The sequence below is a fragment of the Homo sapiens genome, chromosome 12 (assembly GCF_000001405.40).
Source record: "Homo sapiens chromosome 12, GRCh38.p14 Primary Assembly".
NCBI classification, from domain to species: Eukaryota; Metazoa; Chordata; class Mammalia; order Primates; family Hominidae; genus Homo; species Homo sapiens.
The window spans coordinates 117,076,190-117,101,970 of record NC_000012.12 but is presented as its reverse complement, the minus strand read 5'-3'; the positions used below and the strand labels follow the sequence as shown (position 1 = coordinate 117,101,970).

General features: G+C 50.0%; 1 protein-coding gene and 1 long non-coding RNA gene across 7 annotated transcripts in view, besides 5 other annotated features; one reads left to right on the top strand and one right to left on the bottom strand.

Annotated features, from left to right (window-relative positions):
• TESC-AS1 (TESC antisense RNA 1) overlaps positions 1-2,504 on the bottom strand; it is a 42,023-nt gene extending 39,519 nt beyond the window's left edge. The window contains exons 1-2 of the long non-coding RNA NR_120464.1: positions 2,327-2,504; positions 1,331-1,518 (exon numbers count right to left, since the gene is read on the bottom strand). This is a non-coding gene — a long non-coding RNA (TESC antisense RNA 1). The remainder of the gene's footprint in view (positions 1-1,330; positions 1,519-2,326) is intronic.
• Positions 1,339-1,556: a silencer, noted in NCBI's record as "fragment chr12:117538220-117538437 (GRCh37/hg19 assembly coordinates)". NCBI's record gives its function as "represses an EF-1alpha promoter that drives an FKBP-Casp9 reporter gene in an ReSE screen in phorbol 12-myristate 13-acetate-treated (for megakaryocytic differentiation) K562 erythroleukemia cells {active_cell/tissue: K562(+PMA)}" and the evidence as "EXISTENCE:reporter gene assay evidence [ECO:0000049][PMID:32094911]".
• Positions 2,300-2,819: a silencer, noted in NCBI's record as "silent region_4912". NCBI's record gives its function as "represses an Ori minimal core promoter by ATAC-STARR-seq in GM12878 lymphoblastoid cells {active_cell/tissue: GM12878}" and the evidence as "EXISTENCE:reporter gene assay evidence [ECO:0000049][PMID:35858748]".
• Positions 2,423-2,561: a silencer, noted in NCBI's record as "fragment chr12:117537215-117537353 (GRCh37/hg19 assembly coordinates)". NCBI's record gives its function as "represses an EF-1alpha promoter that drives an FKBP-Casp9 reporter gene in an ReSE screen in K562 erythroleukemia cells {active_cell/tissue: K562}" and the evidence as "EXISTENCE:reporter gene assay evidence [ECO:0000049][PMID:32094911]".
• Positions 2,555-25,781, top strand: part of TESC (tescalcin) — a 60,494-nt gene continuing 37,267 nt past the window's right edge. For 5 of the 6 annotated variants that reach the window (NR_031766.3, XM_047429044.1, NM_001168325.2 and 2 more), the window contains exon 1: positions 2,555-2,746. Coding sequence is in view for 5 of the 6 variants with exons in the window: in XM_047429044.1 (XP_047285000.1) it covers positions 2,689-2,746 (58 nt within the window). In the remaining variant the exon portion in view is untranslated. Of the gene's footprint in view, positions 2,747-8,282; positions 8,320-25,781 lie in introns of those variants that run through there. The other variant, XM_011538503.1, reaches the window with a different exon arrangement.
• Positions 2,880-2,989: a silencer, noted in NCBI's record as "silent region_4911". NCBI's record gives its function as "represses an Ori minimal core promoter by ATAC-STARR-seq in GM12878 lymphoblastoid cells {active_cell/tissue: GM12878}" and the evidence as "EXISTENCE:reporter gene assay evidence [ECO:0000049][PMID:35858748]".
• Positions 3,060-3,159: a silencer, noted in NCBI's record as "silent region_4910". NCBI's record gives its function as "represses an Ori minimal core promoter by ATAC-STARR-seq in GM12878 lymphoblastoid cells {active_cell/tissue: GM12878}" and the evidence as "EXISTENCE:reporter gene assay evidence [ECO:0000049][PMID:35858748]".

Genomic DNA, 25,781 nt, shown 5'->3' with positions numbered 1-25,781 from the left:
GTTTGGCTGTGGACCCAGGAGAGGGGATGAGGACTCTGAGAAGGCCTCCCTGAGGATGTGAGTTTCCACTGAGGTCTGAAGAGGAAGCGGGAGTGCAAGAGAGTTTCAGGCAAAAGGAACAAGTACAAGTGCTTGTCTAGTAGCTAACAGCGGTCAGTGGGTCAGGGTAGACAGGTGATCGGGTAGGACAGACTCCCTTCATACTAGATACCAGGGGCTTCCTTGAGATCACCAAGGGACAATGTGAAGCCATGTGCCCTTCTCCTTGTCCCAGGGCTTTTGTCCCCACCAGAGCAACTGTGCCAAGCAGGAGGGGCTGATGTCCAGAGAATGCCACTTCCTATCCCCCACATCAGACAGTTCCATCATTTAATCCTTGACTAGTTTAATATAATAAAATTCCAGGAACTGACATTTTAAGTTGGAATAAAATTGCTCCCAGCAGCTGTACGTAATGGGCTGGCTCAGCGGCTCAGAACTCCCAGGGGTATTGGGGATCCTTTCCTGATCCCAGAGGCCTGCCTGTTTCCAGAATCCTTTAAACCAAAATGCAGTCCCTAGGTCAGCTGTCCTGCCGGCTCAGATCAGCTGATGACCCACAGCCAACATCTTTCCACCTTGATCAGGTCTTGCACTGCCCTCTGGAGAGTGCTTTAAAATGCAGATTGCAGGTGCTGCCTTAGCTCTACGAGTGCAGACAGGCAGTGGAAGAGGAAGCTGGATTTTCCATTTTAGAGACAGGGTCTCGTTCTGTTGCCTGGGCTGGAGTGCAGTGGTGCAATCAGAGCTCACTGCAGCCTCTAACTCCTGAGCTCAAGCGATCCTTCTGCCTCATCCTCCCAAGTAGCTGGGACTTCAGACGCACACCATTGTGCCCAGCTCATTTTTAAAAAGTTTTAATTGCTGGTAGAGCTGGGGTCTTGCTATGTTGCCCAGGCTGGTCTCAAACTCCTGGGCTCAATCCTCCTGTCTCAGCCTCCCAAAGTGGTGAGATTACAGACATGAGCCACTGCACCTGGCCAAAAGCTGGATTTGCAACCAGGAAGGGGCTGATTCTGATGCTCTAGGAGGTTTTAGGACCAACTCCCACCCTCTACCTCGGGCTCTGAAAGTCACCTCCTGCCCCTGGAAAGGGCTGTGACCCTTGGCTTGAGCCTGTAGTCTGCAGGAATGAACAGCAGTTCTCAGCAGCCCCCTTCCCAGCAGCCTGTGAAACTGATGGAGGTAGGTCCACCCGAGTCCCCTCTGTGGGCACCGAAAAACTCCTGCCCCCTACCCTGTCCCCCTTCCTCCCCAACATTTATCATCGAGACTAACGTTCAGAACAGACCTGATACCTGACGGTCATTGATGGTGGTGTCACTAAGCACTGCAGAGCCTTCAGGAGAGCCTTGACCTTGATGTTCTGCCCTGGCTGTGTGCCTCTCCAGGGGACAAGATTCCATAGCGCCCACCAGCCTCTGTGGCCATGTGCTGTGTCCACGCCAGGCCCTCTGGTGGACATCTCATTAACTTATCCTTATTTTAAGGAGGAGGAATCACATTACACAGGCAACAGCATCGGCCCCAGTCACCCCAACTGGATGGAGAGCCAACCCCTCAAGCCATCTTAACCCAGAACTTCCCTAATGGGCATGGGGACCACCGGCATTGCCTTCTCTCCAGCAGTTTGTCCCAAATGCAGCCTCCTGGGCCCACTTCTGCAGTTGTTTTTTTGTTTGTTTGTTTTTTGAGACAGAGTCTTGCTCTGTCGCCCAGGCTGGAGTGCAGTGGCAAGATCTCAGCTCACTGCAACCTCTGCCTCCCAGGTGCAAGTGATTCTCCTGCCTCAGCCTCCGGAGTAGCTGGGATTACAGGCATGTGCCACCGCGCCTGGCTAATTTTTGTGTTTTTAGTAGAGACGGGGTTTCACCATGTTGGCCAGGCTGGTCTCGAACTCATGAGCTCAAGTGATCCGCCCGCCTTGGCCTCCCAAAGTGCTGGGATTACAGGCGTGAGCCATGCGCCCAGCCCGCTCCTGCAGTTTGAGGTGCCTCTCAGCCACCGGGCTGTGCAGGGCCCACACGGGCCGCCACGTGGGTGTGTTCACCTCAGAAGGTGCTGGGGCTTTCCTGGAAAAAACCAAAGCGCATGGTGCATTTTCAAATAGGATTATTATTACTGTTGTTCTCCATAGAGCTATTTCATGCTCGCTGACTTCCTTGACTATCTCAGTGGAGTTTCCCTCCTAAGATCTGGAGGATGTAAGGTGGGATGGGTTGGGAGTGGGCATAGCACCTCCCAGGGGTCCCACCCCTCCTACCCACGCCCCCAAATTTGCTCACACCTGCTTCCTTCCAGATCCAGCAGGTGTGCGGAAGGGACGAGGTACGTGAGCACTGCTGCACGAACGGGGACTCCAGAGCGGTGGGCTCCGGGGTCCCCTTCCCGGCGGTTTCCGGGCCGGGGCGGGGCGGGGCGCTCCCCTAGCCGCGCAGTGCGCGAAACCGGCGTGCGCTAGGACCGCGGCGCGCCGCCCTCCGCCGTTATATGAGGCCCCGCTCCGGCCCCACGCGGAACCCGCGGCTCCGAGCCTTCGCCGGCGTCCCGACCCGAGGCCGGACCCGAGGCCAGTCCCGCCGCTGCGCAGCCGAAGCCAGTGCGGGGCCTGAGAGGGACGCGCGCCCCGGGGCCCCCGCCGCGGGCACCATGGGCGCTGCCCACTCCGCGTCTGAGGAGGTGCGGGAGCTCGAGGGCAAGACCGGCTGTGAGTACCCGCGGGGGGCGGCGCGGGGACCGGGGCGGGACCTCCGAACGGCCACTGTTGGGGACCCCGGCCCGCCGCCGCGCTGTGTGACCTTGGGCCAGTGGCGGGCCCTCTCTGCGCCTCAGTCTCCTCCTCTTTCAAATGGGTCCCCGCTGGCCACCTCGCGGGCTGCGGCGAGGAGCTCCGCGGCGATGCTCAGTGCCGCAGCCGCTCAGCTTCGGACTGGCCCGGGAACTCCCTGGCCGGGGGACTGCGGACCGGGGAGGGAGCGGGGCCCAGGCTTCCCAAGCGCAGGGCAGGTGCCTCAGGCCGGGCGGGCAAGTCCCTCAGGCACCCCCGCTGGCGCGCGCGCCCCACACCTGAGAGTCGTTTGCATTCGTGAGCGCGAGAGCGGAAAGTTTTGAAGTCGGCGGACCTGGGTGGGAACAGGTCTCCGACGCTCCCCGGCCGGGTGACCTTAGTCGGGAGAGCCGGCGCCCGGCGCCTGCTTTCGTCCTCGCATCTGTAAAATGGGTTCAGGCAGCCTCATCCCCGCGGGTGGCTGGGAGACTTAGCGAGGCAGCGGCCGCAGAGCACTTTGCCCGGAGCCCAGCGTCCTCCCCTGAGTTCGCTGAGTCTCCCGGGACCAGCAAAGGCTGCGCGCCCCGCATCGGCCCGGAGGCGGGGAGCCCTGGGAGGCCTGGCCGAGCTGCCCGCAGGGAAATGGCGGAGAAAGCGCTTCTCTGCCCGAGTTCAGCCGGGCTGGGGACTTGGCCCTGGGTCCTGAACTCGGCATGGCCAGTTCTGCCTCTGGCTGTGGACCAGGGTGTGGACTGGAGACCGCGGGGGCCAGGTGTGTGGGCAAACCGGCTTTGGCGAGCGACAGACCGGCTGTGAACCCTGCCAGCTGCACTTCCTGGCTGTGTGACCTTGGGCTAGTCACTTTACCTCTCTGATTCTCAGCTTTCCTTCTCTGTTGTAAGAGTTCTCCTAGTACCTGGTAGACGCTCAGGAAATGGGAGCTGCAGATATTTTGGGAAAGAGCTAGCTCCTGGCACCTGCTTCAAGTGCAGAGAACCAGCGTCCAGTATTGATCACCAAGAGAGGGTGGCCCAGCTGTTTGTGTGTCAGCTGAAAAGCAACCCCTCTTGACCCCCAATCTAAATACCCCTTTCCAGGAGAACTGGATGAAAATTGCAGAAAACCATTAATAACTGGTGTGTGTATGCACGCACTTATACGTCTATATCTGTATCTCTGTGTGTGTAGAGATATAGAAATATCCAACTAAAGAAGTAAAAGGTGTGGCTCAGCATATATAATATGGTACCCTTTTTTCTGTTTTTTAAAAAAGGATCCTTTGAGCTGGAGCCGCAAAGTAAAAAGAAATAGAAAATGTAAAAAGAGGGGAAAATAAGAGTATACATTTGTAATTGCTATATTTGCAGACTGGAAGAATCCACCAGAAAGTACGAATGGATGCTTGGTGGGGGTTGCGGGGGGAGTGGAAGGGATGAAGGGAGAGTGAGCTTTTTCTCCGTAAACGTTTTTATATGTTCATTTTGAACTATGTTGGATATTTTACTTACTCAAAAAGTTTTATGCACTTCAATCCGAAGACTAATATGAGAGAGAAAGGAGGGATTCCTCTAGCTCTTACTTGCTTGGGTCTCCTCTGCTTTTATTATTTCTCATGTGCCCTCTCCTCGCCTCCCACTGCTTTGAATCTGGATGGGTGTCGATGGGCATTCTCTGTGGCTGGGATCCCCGTTGGAAGGGTGGGCTCTCCGGCAGCCCACGGGGCACTCGGGAATTCCACCTGGTTGTGGGTTTGACAGGGAGGAGGGGCTGCAGAGCATGCTGGGAGTCTTGTCAGTTTCCTGGGTCCAGCCTCCCACTGGGATGACAGATGCTGTGTTCCTGCTCTGTAACCTTCCTAGATGTAGCTGCAGCGGCTTCCCTTCTTGCTGCCCAGAGCTCAGACTTCATAACCCAAGGGAGATGGAGAGGGTCGGAGAGGAGGTTCTGAGGTTAGACTAGAGTAGGCAGGTGGAACTTTAGGTAGGTGGAAAGTTGCCCCCAGTCCTCCGAAAGGGACTGCGTAATTCGGTCACTTTTGCCCACTTAGCAAATATTTATAGACCAGGGGCTGGGGATTTAGAGATGACTCGGAGAGGCTGCTGTTCCTGGAGGGGGACACACAGTAAACAAAACGCCCGACAGGTGTTAAACTGTGAACGAGGCATAGCAGGGTGGCATGAGAATGGAGCTTTAGGGTGGATCCGGAGGTCCTCCCTGAGGAGGTGATAATGGAACAGAAATCCAAGTAAGAATGAGCCAGGGGTGTGCAAATCAGTGGAAAGGGCATCTCGGGCCGAGGGGACGTCGAATGCAGAGGCCCTGTGGCAGGGACAAGCCAGCAACAGTAAATAAGAATGCATGAGATGAGGACACAGCTGTCGTCAGGGCTCAGGCTGTGGCAGGAGCCTGGCTTCAGGGGCCTTGCCAGGTACCTTGGGCAAGTCACTTATGCTCTCTGAGCCTCAGTTTTATCTACTATAAAATGGGCATAGTCATAGTACCTCCCTTGAAGTTGTTGGGAAGGATTGAGTTAATATACATGAAGTAGTTAGACCAAACACATGTACATGGTTTGTTATTGACCATGCTTTAAACACTCTTGTATGTCCTGGTCGCTCCGAGCCATAGCTGAGAGTTGAGTCTTGGTCCCACCTCTCTGAGCTACATGACCTTGGGCAAGTCATCTTACTTCTCTGAGCCTCAGTACCCCCACCTGGATCCTGAAGTCATTGTGTGGATTTGATAAGGTTACGTGCGAGACGATCGGCTTGGCATGGGAACGTCAGCTCCCAGAGACCCAGTGGGTCAGGCAGGGCCCTTCCTCCAAGGCCATTCCCTTGGGAATCTTCCCTGAGAAAAAGGGAGAAAAGCCTCAGGGTAAGGTGGCCAGAGGACAGACTGAGCCCACAGGGCTGCTGACTCCCCCGCCTCCCTGAGGACCAAGATGACCCCTGACTTTCTGGGGAGGAATCAGCTTGGTCCCTTTCTGAGAACACCATCCAGAAAGGACCAGAAGGTCAGGCTGAGGCTGGTGATAATGAACATAATTCCCCAAGCACCTGCTGAGCATCAGGCTCCACGCTGGTGCTCTCTGCATAACACTCTTTATAGTAATGATCCCCCAGGAAGGCAGTGTTAGGGCCATTTTACAGGTGAGGAAACTGAGGCTTAGAGAGGTAAACCAGCTTGCCTGCAGTCCCACAGCTGCTAAGTGGAGGAGTTGGAGATCATGGGATCCCCAAGCCTACTTTCTTTTTTTACAGTTTTTTTTAATTTTTAGTTTTTGAGGCAGGGTCTTGCTCTCTCACCCAGGCTGGAGTGCAAGGGGCATGATCAAGCTCACTGCAACCTCGAACTCCTGGGCTCCAGCGATCCTCCCACCTCAGCCTTCCCAGTAGCTATGACTGCAGGTGTGCGCCACCACACCAGCTAATTTTAAATTTTTCTGTAGAGACAGGGGTCTTGCCATGTTGATCAGACTAGTCTCAAATTCCTGGCCTCAAAGTGATCCTCCCACTTCAGCCTCTTGAAAGCGCTGGAGTTACAGGCATGAGCCACCATGCCTGGCCCCAAGACTGCTTTCTTACTGCCAGCATGCTTTCACTGTGTGTAGCTGCCACTTGAATTTCTAGGAACCAAGAAGGGATAGGAAAAGACTCCCGTATTTTTTCTCACCTTCAGGCCTTTGCACAAAAGCTGTTCCTCTGCCTGGAGCACTGTTTTCATTTGATGTGTACAATCAGGTGTTTACGTACGGGAGCCTTTCTCTGTCTCCACCCAGGGTAAGGTCTAGGCCGGGCGTGGTGGCTCACGCCTATAATCCCAGCACTTTGGGAGGCCAAGGCAGGTAGATCATGAGGTCAGGAGTTCAAGACCAGCCTGGCCAAGATAGTGAAACCCTGTCTCTACTAAAACTACAAAAATTAGCTGTGCGCGGTGGCAGACGCCTGTAATCCCAGCTACTCGGGAGGCTGAGGTCGGAGAATCGCTTGAACCTGGGTGGCGGAGGTTGCGGTGAGCTGAGAGCATGCCACTGTACTCCAGCCTGGGCGACAGAGTGAACTCCATCTCACAAAAAACAAAAACAAGAAAAAACAAACTCAAACCTTTCCTCTTAACCTTGTCTCTCTCTCTTTTTTTTTTTTTTTGAGATGAATTTTCACTCTTGTTGCCCAAGCTGGAGTGCAGTGGCGCGATCTCAGCTCACTGAAACCTCTGCCTCCTGGGTTCAAGCAATTCTCCTGCCTCAGCCTCGTGAGTAGCTGGGATTACAGGTGCCCGCCACCATGCTCGGCTAATTTTTGTATTTTTAGTAGAGACAGGGTTTCACCATGTCGGCCAGGCTGGTCTGAAACTCCTGACCTTAAGTGATCCGCCTGCCTCTGCCTCCCAAAGTGCTGGGATTACAGGTGTGAGCCACCGCGCACAGCGTTAACCCTGTCTCTTTATGAAACGAATGCTCATTATTGTTCAGGGGTTGGCTTACCTGCTGCTCCCATCCAGAAAGCCATCTCTCCATCCGACCTTTAAGGGTTAAACACCCATCCTCAGCGCTCCTGGAGCCCGCAATAGCAGGCATCACACCATGTTATACTTGTCAACTCTGTCACCTGCCACCCCTTCGAAACTTGGAGCTCCCTAGAGCAGAAAGAACGTGTCTTGTTCACCTTTGTATGCACTTGGTGGTTCAGTGAGAGCATAAGAGGCTCACGTTAAAGGGGCACAGTCCCTGGGGACTTTAAAACTCAAGGTGTATTGTTCAGGAACAGGCAGCCACTGGAAAACCCAGTGCCACCCTCACCAGCTGTCCTCGGCTGCCAACCCTCCCAGCATCTCCCCAGCCCCACCAAAAATATGCCTGAGCAGCAGCTTGCCACACAGGGCATCATCAGGTCTGCGTGCCCACCTTCCTTCTCCCTGCCTGTTAGAGTCTCATTGATTGATTTAAACCGGAAACGAGTATTCCCAGGAATCTTTTCTGAGCCAAGAAGGCTCACATCTAGATTGTTAAGATTCATATGAAAAGCCCGAGCGAAGGCGTCCCGGGGGTGTGATTGAGCTCACCTTCCCCACGCACCCGTGGTGACAGCAGCCAAGTGGTGTCTGGTGTGTGGACCGAGGTACAAAGTGGGACCTGACGGAGAGAAGGGCTTCTTGGGAATTATTCACCTGAGTCAGTTGTCCTTCACCACCTTGAGCTGGCCCCACTTCCTGTCCCCCCCATCCGTGTCTGCTCCTGGAGTTGGAAAGGAAATAATAAGACAGAGGATTCTGGGAAAGGTGGAGGGTCTGTTTTTTCCTTCAGGCTCCAAAACAGCTCTTCAGGCATGTCTATGTTGATGCCAAGAAGCTGCCAGAAGGAAAAGGAAAAAAAAAAAAAAAATCTCCAGACCTAGAGTTCAGACCTCATGATGGTAAGAGCTAATGTTTCTCGGGCGCGTGGCATCTGCCACACGTTCAGCTGAGCCAGGCAGCGTATCCGCAGTAGCTGATGGAATCCTCCCAGGAACACGGTTGGTTTCCCATTTTACAGATGCAGACATTGAGGCTCAAGAGAGGAGGTGCCTGCCCAAGGCCACAGGCATCATAATGAGAAGTAGAGTCGCAGGCTGGTGCGGTGGCTCATGCTTGTAATCCCAGCACTTTGGGAGGCCAAGGCAGGGGGTTCGCCTGAGCCCAGGAGTTGGTGCCACTGCACTCCAGCTTGGGTGACAGTGCGAGACTGTCTCCAAAGAAAAAAAGAGAGTCGGATTCCATTCCTGGTCTAATCTCATTTGGAGAAGGAGCTAGAGATGGCAGGGAGGACTGGCGTAGCCAAGCGTGGCTGGTGGGGGTGGCGCTGGTTTCTCCACTGCGTTCTCGCCCCTGGGTAATACTTCTTGGTTCTAAAGTCTTTAAGTGGCCTCAGACGGTGGCCTCGGCTCATTCACCAATTGCCATATTCTGCTACCAGGGTGGACCAGATGCGGTCCCTGCCCTCCAGAAGCTCAGGGGTTCCAGGGGGACAGGGGAGCACCCCAACAACTGTAGCATAGCGGGAGGAAGGGTCTGATGGGCCAGGGTGGACCAGCCAGCTCCACACTGTTCTGTCGTCCGCCAAAGCTTGGTAAGCTGAACAGCCAACCAGCCAGTCCCCCGTGCCTTTTCTCTTCCTCTGGGCTAGGTTGTGGCTTTTCCCCTGGCATCTTCAGGGAGTCCATGAACCCCATGAAATAGGATGTGGAATTGTCTGAGTGCCTCTGGGGAGGGCCCTCTGCCCTTGTTAGGGTCTCTGAACAGTGAAGTGTTTTCCATTGTATGGAAATCATGCCTCAGTAAGAAAATGATTCAAACAATTACTTTTATTGATTGTTTAAAATTAATTTGTTTTTGAGATGGCCCTGCTCTGTTGCCCAGGCTGGAGCATAGTGGTGCAATCACAGTTCACTGCAGCCTCTAACTCCAAGGCTCAAGTGATCCTCCCACCTCAGGCTCCCTCCTCAGACAGTGGCTCCTCAGCAGAGGAGGAATGAATGTGTCCGTGAAACCAGGGGGAAGGACCAGTCCTGTATGCTGAGCTCTGGGGCGGGGGGAGACCCTGGCCTGGAGTCATCCACAAAGTGGTCCAGATCATGGGACCCCCCCAGCCTCTGGAACCCTTTCTGCCTTGACTGGATGGGGGCTTCCAGGCCTCCCCTGCCCTCCTCTCTGGGGGCTCACAGGGGAAACTTGCAGGAGAATGCCCGCTGTGGAAGCTTCCCACAGGGCTGGGGATCAACCAAAGGCACCTGCCTGCTCTAGCCCATGCTGGTATTTTTCATTCTGTTCACCTGGGCCCCATCATCTCACCATCTGTCGCAGCCACAGAGCGGGACCCTGGAGGATGGCGTTCCATGTGCACTGAGCTCGGTGCTGGAGCCGTCCTGTGCCACTTCGCTCAGATGTCTCATCCAGGCTGTGTCCTTCTTTGAGCCACCAGTTCCGCTCCTTAAAAAACGCAGCCAGCTGTGAATGAGGTGACAGCTGCTCTTTCTTGAGCACTTGTCAATCATCTGATCTGCCGAAAAGCCCTTTGAGGGTGGGACTATTGCTGCCAGTTTATAGATGGGCAAACTGAGGTTTGGACAGAGGAAATGACTGCCCAAGATCACTTAGTTGCTGGGTAGGGAATCCAGACTCAAAACCAGGCCTTCTAGTGGGATTTGCCAAGTGCAGTGCCGGGAGAAACCGCCTCTCCCGCATGCCGAGAACCCCACATGCTCTGGACTGAGACTCTGAGAGTCGGCACATCTGTGTGATCTGGGGGAGGCCATGCTGTTACCCCACAACCTCGTCAGTAGAGTTCCACACATTGTTTACCAAGTCGGCAAGGGGAGAACTGAACCTTGAGGCAGATAGGATTGGTTCTGGGTGATGTGGAAAGTTCTGGAATCTAGGTGGGTTGCCCCCAGGGAGAACAAGCTCAGTAGTGGGCAGTGGGAGGGGAGTGGGGACCACGGCTGGGAGGAAGAGGCAGGAGGGTGCCGCCCCCTCTGTTTCCTAGGGTCTCACTGGGTGGCTCAGGTCTGTTTCAAAAGAATTTGTGTTTTCTCTGTGCAAGCCACTGGCAGTCCTCTCCAAGACGTCCTCGCTCCGCAGATTGGTGGTAATTAGATCCCCGCTGCATCTTTCTTTCTTGCCTCCCCTACTGCCATCCTGGCAGGATATTTTTTTGTGAGTTAATGGTCTCCAGAATGTATCGTGGAAATTTAATCAACTCTCAGACATGCCATACGGCCCAGTAAGACAAACAGAATAACCTGGGTGTTGATAAGATGCTCTTCCCTTTGCAAAGCACTTTAGGATCTGTTATCTCGAGCTGAGGGAATGAGGTGTTTTCAGCTCAGAAGGGCTCACAGTTCTGGGAAGAAAACTCAGGGCCTCTTTTGTTCTTTTGTCCATGCTGGTGTGACTGTACAGGGTGAGGGCCTGGGCACCCCTGGTCCTGCCAGCCTTCCTGTTGCCTGCTCCAGCTTAATTATTAATTTATAAAACCAGAAGGTCGAGTGGGTGATTTCCGCTGGTGGTGGTGGCCACGGAGCACTAGGACAAAAAGGCTCTTTGTCGTCCCAGCAGTGTGACCTTTGCAGACCGGCACTCTGTCAGGAGCAAGCCTTCCGTTCTTGGCACTGCTCCCTGGCAGGTTAGTGGAGGTCTCAGGGCCCAGGTGCCTCCAGGAGGAGGGCAGGTGGCCAGGCCGGAGACAGCAGTCCTCAAAGGGGGGCTGTAGAGGCCAAAGGTGGGCTGCAGAGGCCAGCTTGCCCCAGGTGCTGAGGTTGGAAGAGGGTTCCCTAAGCTCCTCCTGAGCACCTGTGCCAGAATCCCAATGATCAGAGAACCCTGAGCAAATACCCAGCACTTTGCAGGCCTCACCCACCTGGTAGTTCTAAGGGGGTTCTTGCCCTTGCCTGCATCCCCCCAAGGACCTCAGCCAGAGTCCCACTATGGCACACAGGTGGCTTCTCACCACCTGTCCTTTTCCAGCAGATAGATGTGGGTTTATATCATGGTATTGCCTCTTACTGTCTAGGCAAAGCACTTTGCCTCCCTGAGCCTCAGTTTCTTCATCTGTAAAATGACAGCAAAAATAGAACCTGTTTCACTGAATGTTGCGAGGATTAAGTTAGAATTTGGGCAAAGCTCTTGACCCATCCTCAGTGCTTGAGAGTTACTGGCAGTTACTAATCATTTCAACTGGGAACACTTCAGGAGCTGGCTATGTATCTCCTTTTAAAAGGCATGCTATAACTTTTTTTAGTAATTCATTTCATTTTTTATATGTCTGCTATCTTGGACATGCCTAAACTTAATCACCATCTCTGCCCTTGTGCTCATAATTGGGGACCTTAATGTACTTTAATTTGTATCACTCCATAGTACTTAAGAACCTACATATTCATTATTATTCTATGCAGACACTATTAATTCTTGCAACCACTCTTCCTTATGGATATAGTTTTCTTATTTAATGCATGTTTCTGTAGATTTTTCAGTGAGGCTCTGTGAGTTGTAAACTTTGGAAATATTGTTATTTTGCAGGCATGCATGAATGAACATTTGGCTGTGTGTAAAATATAAGGTTGCTGGATTTTTTTTTTTTCAGCGATTCGTTTTTGGTCTTGTTGCTGTTGAGAAATCAGCTGTTAGTCTAATCGACATTTCTTTGTAGAAACCTATTTTCCCTTTTCCCTGTTTTAAAATTTTTGTCATTGGTGTTTTGTACATGCTATGTCTGGGTGTGGATTTATTTTTATTTATCCTGGGAATGGTTTATGTTGTTTGATTCTAAAGAAAGATCATATCTTCCATTATGAAAATATTATCTCTCCCCTTTCTCTTTATCTTCTTCATTAGTAATTCCTATTAGACAAATGTTGGTTCATCTCATTCTGTCTGCATGCCTCTTAATCTTTCTTTCATATTTTCTTTTTATTTCAGCTGGGTCATTTCCTTAGATCCATCTTCCAGTTCACTAATTCTCTCTTCAGCTATTACAACCTTGCTGCCTTAACCTATTAAATTTCAAAAAATTGCAATGACTTATAAAAAAAGTTTATAAGTGCTATATAGTTTTCAAATTCACCTCTTTTTCATAGGGTATGGTTCTTCCATTGTTTGTAATAATTTAAAGCCTACTATATAGTCTCTTCTGTTTTGCCTTCTTGGAGTGCTATTCCTTTTGTTAATTGTGTCTGCTGTTCTCCCTTATGGTGGTTCATTTGCTTGTATGGTTTGGTTTTTTGATTATAAGCTCATCTTTGGGCTTTTTCCCAACTCCCCTTGGCCCTTCCCCCTACCACCCCACAGGATTCCTGTGTGCCCTGGGTTTTAGAAGAGCCTTACACAGTGCATTTGCATTTCTTGTGCTAGGTGTCTCAAGCTTTTCACCAGTCTGAAAACACTTTTCACATTAACTCCTTGGTTTGGGTCTCCTGCCCCACAGAGACTTGGATTTTTCACCAGTGTGTGGCTCAGTCTTGGAGTTTGGATTCATTGCAGAAGCCTGCTCTTTCCCCTGCCGTCTCCCTAGCAGAGATGGCTGTCTTATTATTCTCTGGGCCAGTGGGGAACGTTTTTTCTGACCCACCTGATGTGCAGAGGCAGCCTTTTGTATTTCAGCTTTTTAGAGGGGTCTCAGCTCCAGTTCATGCAGACCCAAGGCCTCTTCTGTCACTCAGTGGACTTGAAGTCCCCACCCTTAGCTGTTGGAGCCTGAAACCATTCTAACACCTGGGCCACCTCAGCAGCATCTGTCACTAACCCTGCTGGTTCCTGGTCTCTTCCTTGCCCCTGGCACTTGGGTATTGCCCTTTCCTTCCATTTAGCTGGACATTACATTTGTTTCTTGTTTTATCCAGTGTTTGTAATGGAAGGTAGAATCTGTATTATATCCAAGTAGCAGGACCTGAAATTCCTGATCTAAGTGTCCTACTGAAGTAAGCCTTGTACATTTTTTTTTTTTTTTTGAGACAGAGTCTCACTCTGTCGCCCAGGCTGGGGTGCAGTGGCACAATCTCGGCTCACTGCCACCTCCGCCTCCCAGGTTCAAGTGATTCTTGTGCCTCAGCCTCCTGAGTAGCTGGGATTACAGGCATGCGCCGCCACGCCCAGCTAATTTTTGTATTTTTAGTAGAGACGGGGTTTTGCCATGTTGGCCAGGCTGGTCTCAAACTCCTGGCCTCCAGTGATGCACCCGCCTCAGTCTCCCAAAGCGCTGGGATTACAGGCATGAGCCACTGTGCCCGGCCAACCTTGTACTTTAGATAAGCCTGTTTATGCTTGATTTGGCCTCAGGATAAATCTGGAACTGAAGATAGTTCTGGAAGGCTGTGAAAACCTGTTTCTTAGATGCTCTGAAAGACACCCACTCGCCCACTCTCAAAATCTTTCCTGATTCACTGTTGCTTTTTTCCCCCTTCATCATCTTTAGTCTTTTTATTAAAATGGAGAAATTTTTCTCTAATTACATAAATGATATGTATTTATTGTTCCATCCCTCCTCAGTTTGGGCATACAGCCTAGCCAATGGCTATGCAAATAGAATCTAAAGTCATGGACCTCGGTCTAAATCCCAGTTCTGCTGCTCCTAGCTGTGTGACCTTCAGGGAGTGACTTAGCCTCTCTGAGACTCAGTTTCTTTATCTATAAAATGGGTGTGATTACCACCCTAAAAGGGAGGCATGGCCCTAAAGGGAGGCACCCTAAAAGCGAGGACTAACTAAGATAATTCCAGGCATTTGGCTGAGTCCTAGCCTCTGGGTAAATGTTAACACATGGTGGTTATTATATTATTATTTATTTATTGAGACAGAGTCTCGCTCTGTCACCCAAGCTGGAGTGCAGTGGTGCGATCTTGGCTCACTGCAACCTCCACCTCCCAGGTTCAAGCGATTCTCCTGCCTCAGCCTCCCAAGTAGCTGGGATGACAGACGTGCACCAGCACGCCCAGCTAAAGCACATGGTGGTTATTATTACTGCTATAAGGCGCATGGTAAAGAACAGAGCATAGCTGTAGGAAGGGAACATAGATGAGCGAAACAGACTGTGATTTTTAAAGTCACGAGCACCCACTCTGACAGCTTTCTCAGTTGCCTTATTGCTCATGAGAGAAGAGTAGATTCTAAAGTCAATTCACTCTGTCCCAGCTTCCCCTTCAGTCCTGAGAATTGGAGGATTCATTCAGGGTAGGAAAAAACCCGCAGAGATCCTAACAGGACCCTTGGTATCCGAGGTTGAAATAAACACTGCTGACGTGGGCCTGTGGCAGCTCTTACCAGGAATTCCTTGGCTTTCACACTTACAAAGTGGGTTGAAGTTGGCATGAAAAAGGGTATTAAGGTGCTGCATAAATGCCAGCAATTAATCTTCAAGCTGCTGCTGCTGCTGCTCTGAAGGACAGAATTGGGTTTGAGAGCTTCCTTCTCAAGGCCAAGTGCACCCAAATGCATCTTTGGTTAATTTTAACATCCCAGCAGCTAAGAGTGATCTATGGTGTATACGAGTTCAGCACATGGCATCCAAGGAAAAGGCAGGTGAAGGAGAGGAGCCAGCATCCAGCATCATGAAGTGCCCTGCGTGTGCCAGGCATGAGAGGGTAGTCCCCTGTGGAGTGGCCCCTGCAAGGCTAAGGAGGCTGTCCCTCCCTGCCTCCCTCCCAAGGCCCAGGGTTAGTCATTGTTTTGGCTGTAGCCGCAGGAGGCATGCAAGTTGCTGCGTCCCTGGTGAGCTTGAATCCAGCTGAACAGCCATGATGGTATCACAGGATTACTTAGGGAACAATAATAACAGTCCCAGCAACCCCAGCGTCTCCTGCATCTCCTACGTCTCCTACCAGATCCTGTGCTAAGGGTGTGCATGATCTCTTTAAAAATTGATGCAAAATTCATGTAATATAAAATTTACCATTTTAGGTTGGGCGCTGTGGCTCACACCTGTAATCTCAGCACTTTGGGAGGCTGAGGTGGAAGGATCACTTGAGGCCAGGAGTTCGAGACCAGCCTGGGCAACATAGCAAGACCCTGTCTCTACAAAAGAAAAATTAAAAAAATTAGCTGGGTGCTGTGGTGTGCACCTGTAGTCCCAGCTACTCGGGAGGCTGAGGCAGGGAGGATCACTTGAGTCCAGGAGTTTGAGGCTGCTGTGAGCTGTGATCGTGCCACTGCACTCCATCCACCTGGGTGACAGAGCGAGAGACCCTGTCTCAAAAAAAAGTTAACATTGTAACCATTTTAAAGTATACAGTTCAGGCCAGGAGCAGTGGCTCATGCTTGTAATCCCAGCACTTTGGGAGGCCGAGGTGGGCAGATCACTTGAGGTCAGCAGTTTGAGACCAGCCTGGCCAACATGGTGAAACCCCATCCCTATTAAAAAAAAAAAAATTAAAGTGTATAATTCATTGGCATTAAGTACATTCACAATGATTTGAAAACATCACCGTATCTATTTCTAGAGCATTTTCATCGCCCTCCAAAAAACCTCATACCCATTAGCAGTCACTCCCCATTTCCTCCTCTCCCAGCCCCTGGCGACCACTAATCTGTGTTCTGCCTGTGTGGATCTGCCTGTCTGGGGCATTTCATGTAAATAGCATCCTGCAGTAGGCTGGCCTTGTATATCTAGTGTTATCCCTTCTTGGAGTATGACAGGGCTGCCTCCTTTTGTATTGCTTTATAACATCTCATCACCTGGATATACCCATTTTGTTTTTGCACTCACCAGTTGTTGGACATTGAGTAGTTGCCATGTTGGTGGTTGTGATTGTGAATAGCTTGTGGTGGTTTTTCATGACATGAACAACCTCACAAGGGAGGACATCCCGTTGTCACCTCTGTATCACGGAGGAGGAAGCAGCCTCATGAGTTCAGGGTGACAGCTGAGTGGGATGCATAGCAGAGACTCACAGCAGCCTCCCCCGGCAGCACTGTCAGGAGCTCACCTTTCCATCCAGCCTGGCTCACCTCTGTATTCCGGGATTTCCCCAGTGTTTGGGTTGAGTCCTGGCCAATCTTTCAAGAGGTGGCAAGCAGGAGAGAGCTGGGGTCTTGGAAGTCACTGAGCCCCCCAGTGATGCCCCTTGGTGTCCTGGGGCTGGCATCCAGGCTGGCACAGCTGGTGGGGCCAGTGGGAGGCAGGGTGGCTTGGGGAGTCCCTGGGGCACGGGAGAAGGCTCTCAGCTGTGCTTGCTTCTTCCAGTGGGGCCTTGCCCTGAGCCCTTCCACCTTCTGCCTTCCCGACCCTCACCCTGGGCGGCTGCACCTGCTGTCTCTCAGTCTCATCCACACCCACGCTGTCTATTGCCGGGCACTTCAGATCTCGTTCCCTGGCTTGGTGTCCTCTGTAGACTCAGGGCAAGTCCAAATGTCCTGGACTGATAGATGAGGCCTTCACGCCCCCACCACCCCAGCTGCTTCATTCCCTGCCTGTTTTCTACCCACACTGAAGAGCCCGAGGCTCCCTGAGCCCTGTGTGTTCTGCCTCTGCCAAGGCTATGCCTTCTGCCAGCCCTGTCCACCCCACCCCCAGAACCCCATTGGGCATCACCTCCTGCTCCCATCCCCGTGGCCTAGAACCTCCGCTGCAACCCTGGTGCCCCTTGGCCAGCTGAAGCAGCGTTTACTGTCCTGGATCCTGGCGAGGGGATGTGCATTTCTAGCAGAGTGGGGCTGCGCTTTTTGCATCTGCTTTCCTGGCCTCTAGCAAGCACCTAGCAAACCAGAGGTGCTCAGAGGGCCATGCAAGCACAGGTGGGGCCTTGGGGGTGCCCCTCAGGGCCCACACACTCCTGGGGGCCAGCAGGGGTTGTGGGAAGAGGAGGCAGTGGTGTGCATGCCCCTCATCTGGGTCCTGGGACTACAGGCTCACAGAGTCCTGGTGCCCCAAAATGGATGGGAGCGCATGCTGACATTCTCTTTCCTCCTGAGTCAGGGGAGGGAGGCTGGACTCCAGGGTGGATTTCAGGCCTGCTCCTCTGCTCCTGGGCCCCTCCCATCCTCCCTGTTCTGGACCATTGTCCTTGACCCCCTACCCTGTGTGGCTCTCCTCCCACTGGTGATGCCTTGCTCAGCACAGCAGGGCTGCAAGCAGGTCCCCACAGCCTGATGGGGGAGGCCAGGGCCAGGCAGGCAATGCGCTTACCCCAGCATTCAGAACCCTTTGCAGTCGATTGCCAATATTTTTTAACCCAGCGGATTTCTGCCTCCTCTTAATGAAAGGGGAAAATCTGGCCTCCCATGGCAGCAACTGGCTGGAGGGAACGGTGGCAGCCCCTTCGACAGGGTGGGACTCCAGTTCATGCCTGCACGGGCCCCTTCTCTCACTTCATGCCTTTCTGACCCTGGAGACACTGAAATTCTCAACCCCACCTTGACAGCATCTGAGGAAGGAATTGGCTTCTATTGCCCCTTCATCCCCAAGGTTAAACAGTTTTTACATTGACACCTAATTCACAGCTGATGACATTTACCATTTAAAAGTGTACAGTTCAGTGGCTTTTAGTATATTCACAAAGTTATACAAACATCACCACTGTCTAATTCTTTTTTTTTTTTTTTTTTGAGATGGAGTCTTGCTCTGCCACCCAGGCTGGAGTTCAGTGGTGCTATCTCAGCTCACTGCAACCTCCGCCTCCTGGGTTCAAACGATTCTCCTGCGTCAGCCTCCCCAGAAGCTGGGACTACAGGTGCGTGTCAACACATTTGGCTAATTTTTGTATTTTCAGTAGAGATGGGGTCTCATGTTAGCCTAGCTGGTCTTGAATTTCTGACCTCAAATGATCTACCCGCCTCAGCCTCCCAAAGTGCTGGGATTACAGGTGTGAGCCACAGTGCCTGGCCACCACTACCTAATTGTAGAACAACTTATCACCCCCAAAAGGATACCCACTGGCAGTCACTTCTCATTCCCTCAACACCCTCCAGCCCCTGGCAACCATCAATCTACTTCATTTCTCACTAGATTTGCCTGTTCAGGGCACTTCGTGTAAATGGGATCATACACCGTGTGGCCTTGTATGTCTGGCTTCTTTCACATCGTGTGATTATTTCAAGGTTTATCCATGCTGTAGCATTTACCAATGCTTCATTTCTTTTTTTGCTGAATAATGTTCTGTCATCTGGATGTGCCACATTTTGTTCACCCATTCCTTTGTTGATGGACGTTTGGATTGTTTCCACCTCTTGGCACTTATGAACAGTGCTGCTTTGAACATTGGTTACAGGTTTCTGGTGTGGACGAACATTTTCTTTTATCTCGGGTATAAATGGAATTGTTGGCTGGGCGCAGTGGCTCACGCCTGTAATTCCAGCACTTTGCGAGGCCAAGGTGGGTGGATCACCTCAGATCAGGAGTTCAAGGCCAGCACAGCTAAAACGGTGAAACCCCATCTCTACTAAAAATATAGAAATTAGCCAAGCGTGGTGGCACATGCCACCCAGTGCGGGGAGGCTGAGGCAGGAGAATCACTTGAACTCAGGAGGCAGAGATTGCAGTGAGCTAAGGTTGTGCCACTGTACTCCAGCCTGGGTGACACAGCAAGACTCTGTTTCAAAAAAAAAAAAAATTGTTTTGGAGTAGAATTGCTGGATTACATGGTAATTCTGTGTTTAATTGATTGAGGAACTACCAAACTGTTTTCCACGGTGGTTGTACCATTTAAATCCTCGCTAGTAATGTATGAGAGTTTCAGTTTCTCTATAGCCTCATCAACATCTATTATTTCTTTTATTTATCATTATAGTCATCATGGTTAAAAAAATTTTAACCCAAATACAATTATACAAGTAATCTCCGTAAATTGCAGAAAAGTTAAGGGACAGATAACCAAATTTAGGGTCAAAGGGAGGAGGAGAAAAATGTTCTGTAATTCTACCATCTGAAAACAACTGACTACTATTATTTTGTTGTATACCCTTTTCTATTTTTTCTTGTGCACATGTGTATATCAATATGAACTTTCACGTGTAAATGAGATCTTAGTCTGTTGGATTTTCCGTGCAACAACATGCCATATGACATTTTCCGATGTCCCACAATATTCAAAAAATATTTATAAAGGCTGTGTAGTATTCTGACTTCAGGATGTACCAGGACTCATCTGTCTCATTTTCTGTGGCTCAGTATTTCCCCCAATTTCTTTTTTTTTTTTTTTAGACAAAGTCTCACTCTTGTCCCCCCGGCTGGAGTGTGATGGCACTCTTGGCTCACTGCAACCTCTGCCTCCCAGGTTCAAGCGATTCTTCTGCCTCAGCCCTCTGAATAGCTGGGATTACAGGCACCTGCCACCATGCCCGGCTAATTTTTGTATTTTTAGTAGAGATGGGGTTTTACCACATTGGCCAGGCTGGTCTAGAACTCCTGACCTCAGGTGATCCACCCGCCTCGGCTTCCCAAAATGTTGGGATTACAGGCTTGAGCCACTGCGCCCAGCCAATTTCTTTTCTTTTTGTTTTGAGACAGCCCCTCGCTCTGCTGCTCATGCTGGAGTGCAATCTTGGCTCACTGCAACCTCAACTTCCCAGGCTTAAGTGATCCTCCCACCTCAGCCTCACTAGTCCACACCCAGCTAATTTTTTGATTTTTTTTTTTTTTTGTATAGATGGGATCTTCCTGTCTTGCCCAGGCTAGTCTTGAACTCTTGGGCTCAAGTGATCCTCCCACTTCTGCTTCCCAGAGTGCTGGGATTACAGCCACAAGCCACCACACCTGGCCCATTTCCCCCAACTTCTTTTCTTTTTTTTTCTTTTTGAGACAGAGTTTTTGCTCTTGTTGCCCAGGCTGGAGTGCAGTGGCACGATCTCGGCTCGCTGCAACCTCCACCTCCCAGGTTCAAGTGATTCTCCTGCCTCAGCCTCCTGAGTAGTTGGGATTACAGGCATGCACCACCACACCCAGCTAATTTTTGTATTTTTAGTAGAGATGGGGTTTCACCATGTTGGCCAGGCTGGTCTCAAACTCCTGACCTCAGGTGATCCACCAGCCTCGGCCTCCCAAAGTGCTGGGATTAAAGGAGTGAGCCACCACACCCAGCCCCCCAGTTTCTTACTGTTCTAAACAGGCAACCTTGATTACCCTCATCTGTTCATCTTTATACGCCTGTCTTAATTCCTCAGGATTTGTTCCTAGGGATCAAGTTCTGATTCAAAGGGTATATACCAACGCTGCCCAACACAAATAATAATGTGAGGTGTAATCATGGTAAATTTTCTAGTAGCTGTAATGTAATTACATTATGTAATATAATTCTAAATTTTCTCGTGGCCACATTAAGACAAGTAAAGAAATTAATGGTGAGATGAATTTTAATAGTGTATTTTATTTAGCCCATTATATTTAAAAATGATCATTTTTACCATATGATCAATATCAAAAGTTATTGCAGTTGTCTGTGTTCTTTTTTGTACTTAGTCTTGGCAGGCTGGTGTGTGGTTTCCACTTCAGCCCATCTCAGTCTGGGCTTACCACCTTCAAGGGCTTAGCAGCCACTTGGACAGGCCAGGTGTGTTCCTTCACGTTGAAGTTTATGATACAAAGTGACAGTTCACCTCCATCTCCAAAAGATTAGGCCAGTTAAACTCCCACCAGCCCCATGGACTGGTGTGCATTTCCCTCAGGTTGAAATCTAAAACCAGAAATAATGAGGTCCAGCTGCCAGGAACCAAAGCCCATTCTGCCCATCATCCGCATGGCAACTGTGACCTCAGGGCCCTGGAGAAGGGCTCAGAGGTGAGGAGCAAGGAAACTGGAAAAGCTACCAACCCAGGAGCCCTTGAGGAAAAGGCAGGTCCTTCCGTGGGCTTTGGGGCCCTGATGCAGGCAGACATGCATCAGGTGCTTATGCGAGGGGCCCTGTTGGGGGCCCAGGGTCAGCCCGGGTGTGGGGGCAGGGAAGGGGTTGGGGGGGCGCAGTTAGGAGGAAGCAGCTCACCAGACATGTTGGGTTAGACCAGCTCCACCTGCCAGGGCCTGGGGTGTTCTGAAAGTCAGTTCCTGAGGCTTCGGAAATCATCCTTTCTCTCAGTTACTGTGCCAGAGGAGTCTTCCCTGAGCTGTGAGCTGAGCCCTTGGCTCTAGGGATTTGGGTGTCAAAAAGAGGGCCCCAGAGGTGGGAGGTTGTCTTCCTAATCCTTTGCTTTCAATCAGGCAGGACAGAGGGAGTATGTGTATGTGAATTTGCACGTGTGTGCATGTTCTTTTTTTTTCCATCACCCAGGCTGGAGTGCAGTGGTGCGATCTGGGCTCACTGCAACCTCTGCCTCCCGGGTTCAAGTGATTCTCCTGCCTCAGCCTCCCAAGTAGCTGGGATTACAGGTGCGCCCCACCACGCCTGGCTGATTTTTGCATTTTTAGTAGAGATGGGGTTTCACCATGTTGGCCGGGCAGGTCTCGAACTCCTGGCCTCAAGTGATCCACCTACCTCAGCCTCCCGAAGTGCTGGATTACAGGTGTGAGCCACCGCACCCAGCCTTGCGTGCACTTTGGATACTGTTAACTGGAAACTCTTCATTAGATAACCTTGATCTAGGATGATTTATATACCTCTTCCTAGCTGTGGGACCTTGGGCACATCCCAGAGTTCTCATCTCTAGAATGGGCGTAGAATCATACCTACCTAACAGAACTAAGGAGAGGGTTGTACCAGCCCAGGCTTATCCAAGTAGTTGAACACAGAGGCCAGGAAACGGTAAATGCTCAGTTAATGTCTGCCCTTGTTGTTATGATTATGCATGTAATTTATTTTTTAAATAGCTTTATTGAGATATAATTCACACACCATGAGATTCACCCCCATTTAAATTGAACCCCATAGTTTTAGTATAATCACAGGGTTATGCAACCATCAAAACAATATAATTTTGGAACATTTTTATCTCTCTCTAAAAGAAACTCCAGTGCCCATTGACAGTGTCTCCCTGTTCTCCCTCTCCAGCCCCTCCCCTCCCTGGCCTCAGGCAGCCACTGGTGTACTTTCTGTTCCTAAGGATTTGTCCATCTGAGCATTTCATGCAAATGGAATCATCCAGTGTGTGTCCTCTCCAGTGGCCTCTTTCACACACCAGGATGCTTTCAAGGTAACGCTTTTTTTTTTTTTGAGATGGAGTCTCGCTTTGTCACCCAGTCTGGAGTGCAGTGGCACGATCTTGGCTCACTGCAACCTCCGCCTCCCGGGTTCAAGTGATTCTCCTGCCTCAGCCTCCCAAGTAGCTGGGATTACAGGTGCCTGCCACCACTCTCGGCTAGTTTTTTTATTTTTAGTAGAGATGGGGTTTTGGCATGTTGGCCAGGCTGGTTTCAAACTCCTGACCTCAAGTGATCCACCCGCCTCAGCCCCCCAAAGTGCTGGTATTACAGGCATGAGCCACCACGCCCAGCCATAACTCATCTTTAATAGTGGTTGTTTAGGTGCACCTGTTTAGCTGTAATTTCTAATCTTATTTATCTTCAGATCAGTGTGTTTTGGGGGTTAAGTGATCATACAAAAGGAGACAGACAAATAAAAAAAAGAAAACAAAACACAGAACTACATGTTTTCTGCCAGACAGACCAAGTTCAAATTGTGGGTCTGCCTCTATCAAGGTCAGTGACCTTGAGCAAGTTACATCCCTTCTGAGCCTCAGTTTATTCTTCTATAAAACGGGAATAGCATGTCCCTCATAGGGTCATGGAAGGAACTAAAGAAGATGATGTGTGCCTGGGACACAGTACTCAGCCAGTGAATGACTTATTAATAGCAGTATTTATGAGATCCCTCAGCCATCCAGATGGGATCATGTTGTAGGCTGAAAAACTTCATTACAAGACTAATACATATACATTGTACATTAGAGAAAAATGGGAAAATATAGATGAACCAAAAGCAAAACAGTCTTTAATCCAGGTATTGAGATGAGAAATAATTATTATTATTTTGGGGAAAATAACTCTAGGATTTTTAAATTACTTAAACACATTTGTATATTTTTATGTCTTTTCCACAACACAGAGTTGTGCTCTCTTGGTAGCAAGCTGTTTTTAGGCAGTATATGTGGAATGTATTTCTATGCAAATACACAACTGTCACTGTTAAAGGCAGTATACCTAAAAACAATTTTTTTTCCTCCATCTTGCACTCTAAAGGTATACTTTAAACAAAAATTGGCTAAACATACCAAAAAGTGTTTGACCAATCTGTTTTTTGCTTTTTTTTTGAGGCAGAGTCTCGTTCTCTTGCCAAGGCTGGAGTGCAGTGGTGCGATTTTGGCTCACTGCAACCTCCGCCTCCCGGGCTCAAGCGATTCTCCTGCTTCAGTCTCCCAAGTAGCTGGGATTACAGGTACCTACCACCATGCCTGGCTCATCTTTGTATTTTTAGTAGAGATGGGGTTTCGTCATGTTGGCCAGGTCTCAGACTCCTGACCTCAAGTGATCTCTGCCCACCTCAGCCTCCCAAAGTGCTGGGATTCCAGGCGTGAGCCACCGTGCCCGGCCCCAATCTGCTTTTGATGGTCACTTAGGGCAAGTCGAATTTTAAGCTATTTTAAATAATGCAAAGTTGAACACATTTATGTATTCATGTTTTTGTACGTGTTGCATCTATTATTTTTTAGGATACATTCCTGCCAAGTGGAATTACAATTTTAAAAAATTTTTATTCATTTTTCTTTTCTCTTCCCAGATCTCCTTTAGTCAGGGAGGAATAACACATTTTTTTTTTAGTAAATGTTTTGTCGTGATATAGTGCATATCCAGAACAGTGCATCACTCAAGCATACAGACAGCTCTTTGAGGTTTCCGAGAACACGACTATGTAAAGTGTACGGAGATCTAGAAATGGAACATTCCTAGTACCCAGAACTCCCCTTTGCACTCCATTCAAGTTACTCCTCCTCATCTCATCCTCCAAAAGTCAGTTACAATATTAGCGTCATCTATGATGCCTCCCTTAAGAGCAGCCACTATCTTGACCTCTAACATTGTAGTTGAGTTTTGCCTGTTTTTGAACTTTATGCAAATAGAATCATAAAGTATGTACACTTTCCTGTCTGGCTGCTTTTGTCTGTGATTATCTATATTGTTCATTTTCACTGCCATGTGCTATTCCATTGCTTGACTATATTACACATTAGCACTCTACTCTGCCATTGTTGGGCATGTGGGTAGTTTCCAGTTTAGGACGATTCCAATGGCACCGCCATGACATCTTTGTACGCATGCTTGGGTGAACAGAAGTATGCGTTATTTGTGTATATACCTAGGAGTGCAATTGCTAGGCCATGAAGTAGCCAGTGTCCTTGCTGACATACCTATGATCTAAATGGCCATATTTCCCTGCAGAAAGGTAGAAATTGCACTTTGATGATTCACCTAACCGTTCCAAGTGTCAGTGGCTACATCTGTAACAAGAGGATACAGCCCCCTCCTAGAGTGTTGAAAGGAAGAGATGAGCTGATCATTGGAGCCATGCCCACAGGAAGTAGAGAGCCCTCAGTCTGGGTTGACAGCCTTAACGAGCTGCTGGAGATGCTTGAGAATACTGAGCTGTTGATTCTTGAAGAGCCTGAGGCCAAAAAACAATGAGCAGGAAGTGAGGTGACCAGTTGGCCCCAGAAATTAGCTGCCTCTGTAACAGGAGCAAAACAGTGCTTAGGGGTAGGGAATGCTGGGAGGACTGAGGTGGGAGGTCACAGCTCCGCAGTCCAGCCCGTGTTTTGGAAAGGTTTGTGTGAACTGTATATAGTCCCCAGGAACCAGACCTAAAGTCCTTGAGTGCCAAAGTACTCTGGGCAGACAGGCGATATTACTTCTTGGTGAAGGCTGGCTTTGGGGTCAGTCGCACAGACTTGGAGTTCAGTCCCAGCTCTGCCTCTGTGTGTTGTGGGATCTTACGTGCTCTCTGAGCTGCAGTTTTCAAATTATAAAACTGAGATAACGGCCGGGCGTGATGGTTCACACCTGTAATCCCAGCACTTTGGGAGGCTGCGGTGGGCGGATCACTCAAGGTCAGGAGTTCAAGACCAGCCTGGCCAGCGTGGCGAAACCCCGTCTCTGCTAAACGTATAAAAATTAGCTGGGCGTGGTGGCGCGTGCCTGTAATCCCAGCTACTTGGGAGGCTGGGGCGCGAGAATCGCTGGAACACGGAGGCAGAGGTGGCAATGAGCTGAGATTGCACCACTGCATTCTAGCCTGGGCGACAGAGTGTGACTCTGTCTCAAAACAAACAAAATACCTGAGATAATATCCACTCACTTATTGAGTTGTTTTGATAATGAAGTGAGAAATGCAGATCATTGTTTAATATTGTGCATTTTTTAGAGACAGGGTCTTACCCCATCACCAGATTGGAGTCCTTCCATTTCTTTGCTCCACCAGATTCTCCATACATTTCTCAGTGTAGGTTTCCCAGATCATGTCCAACACCAGCCTGAACCCTTATTTCCTCTCGCTACTCATCTGACTCTGAGTCTGTGACTATAAAAAGCCCCT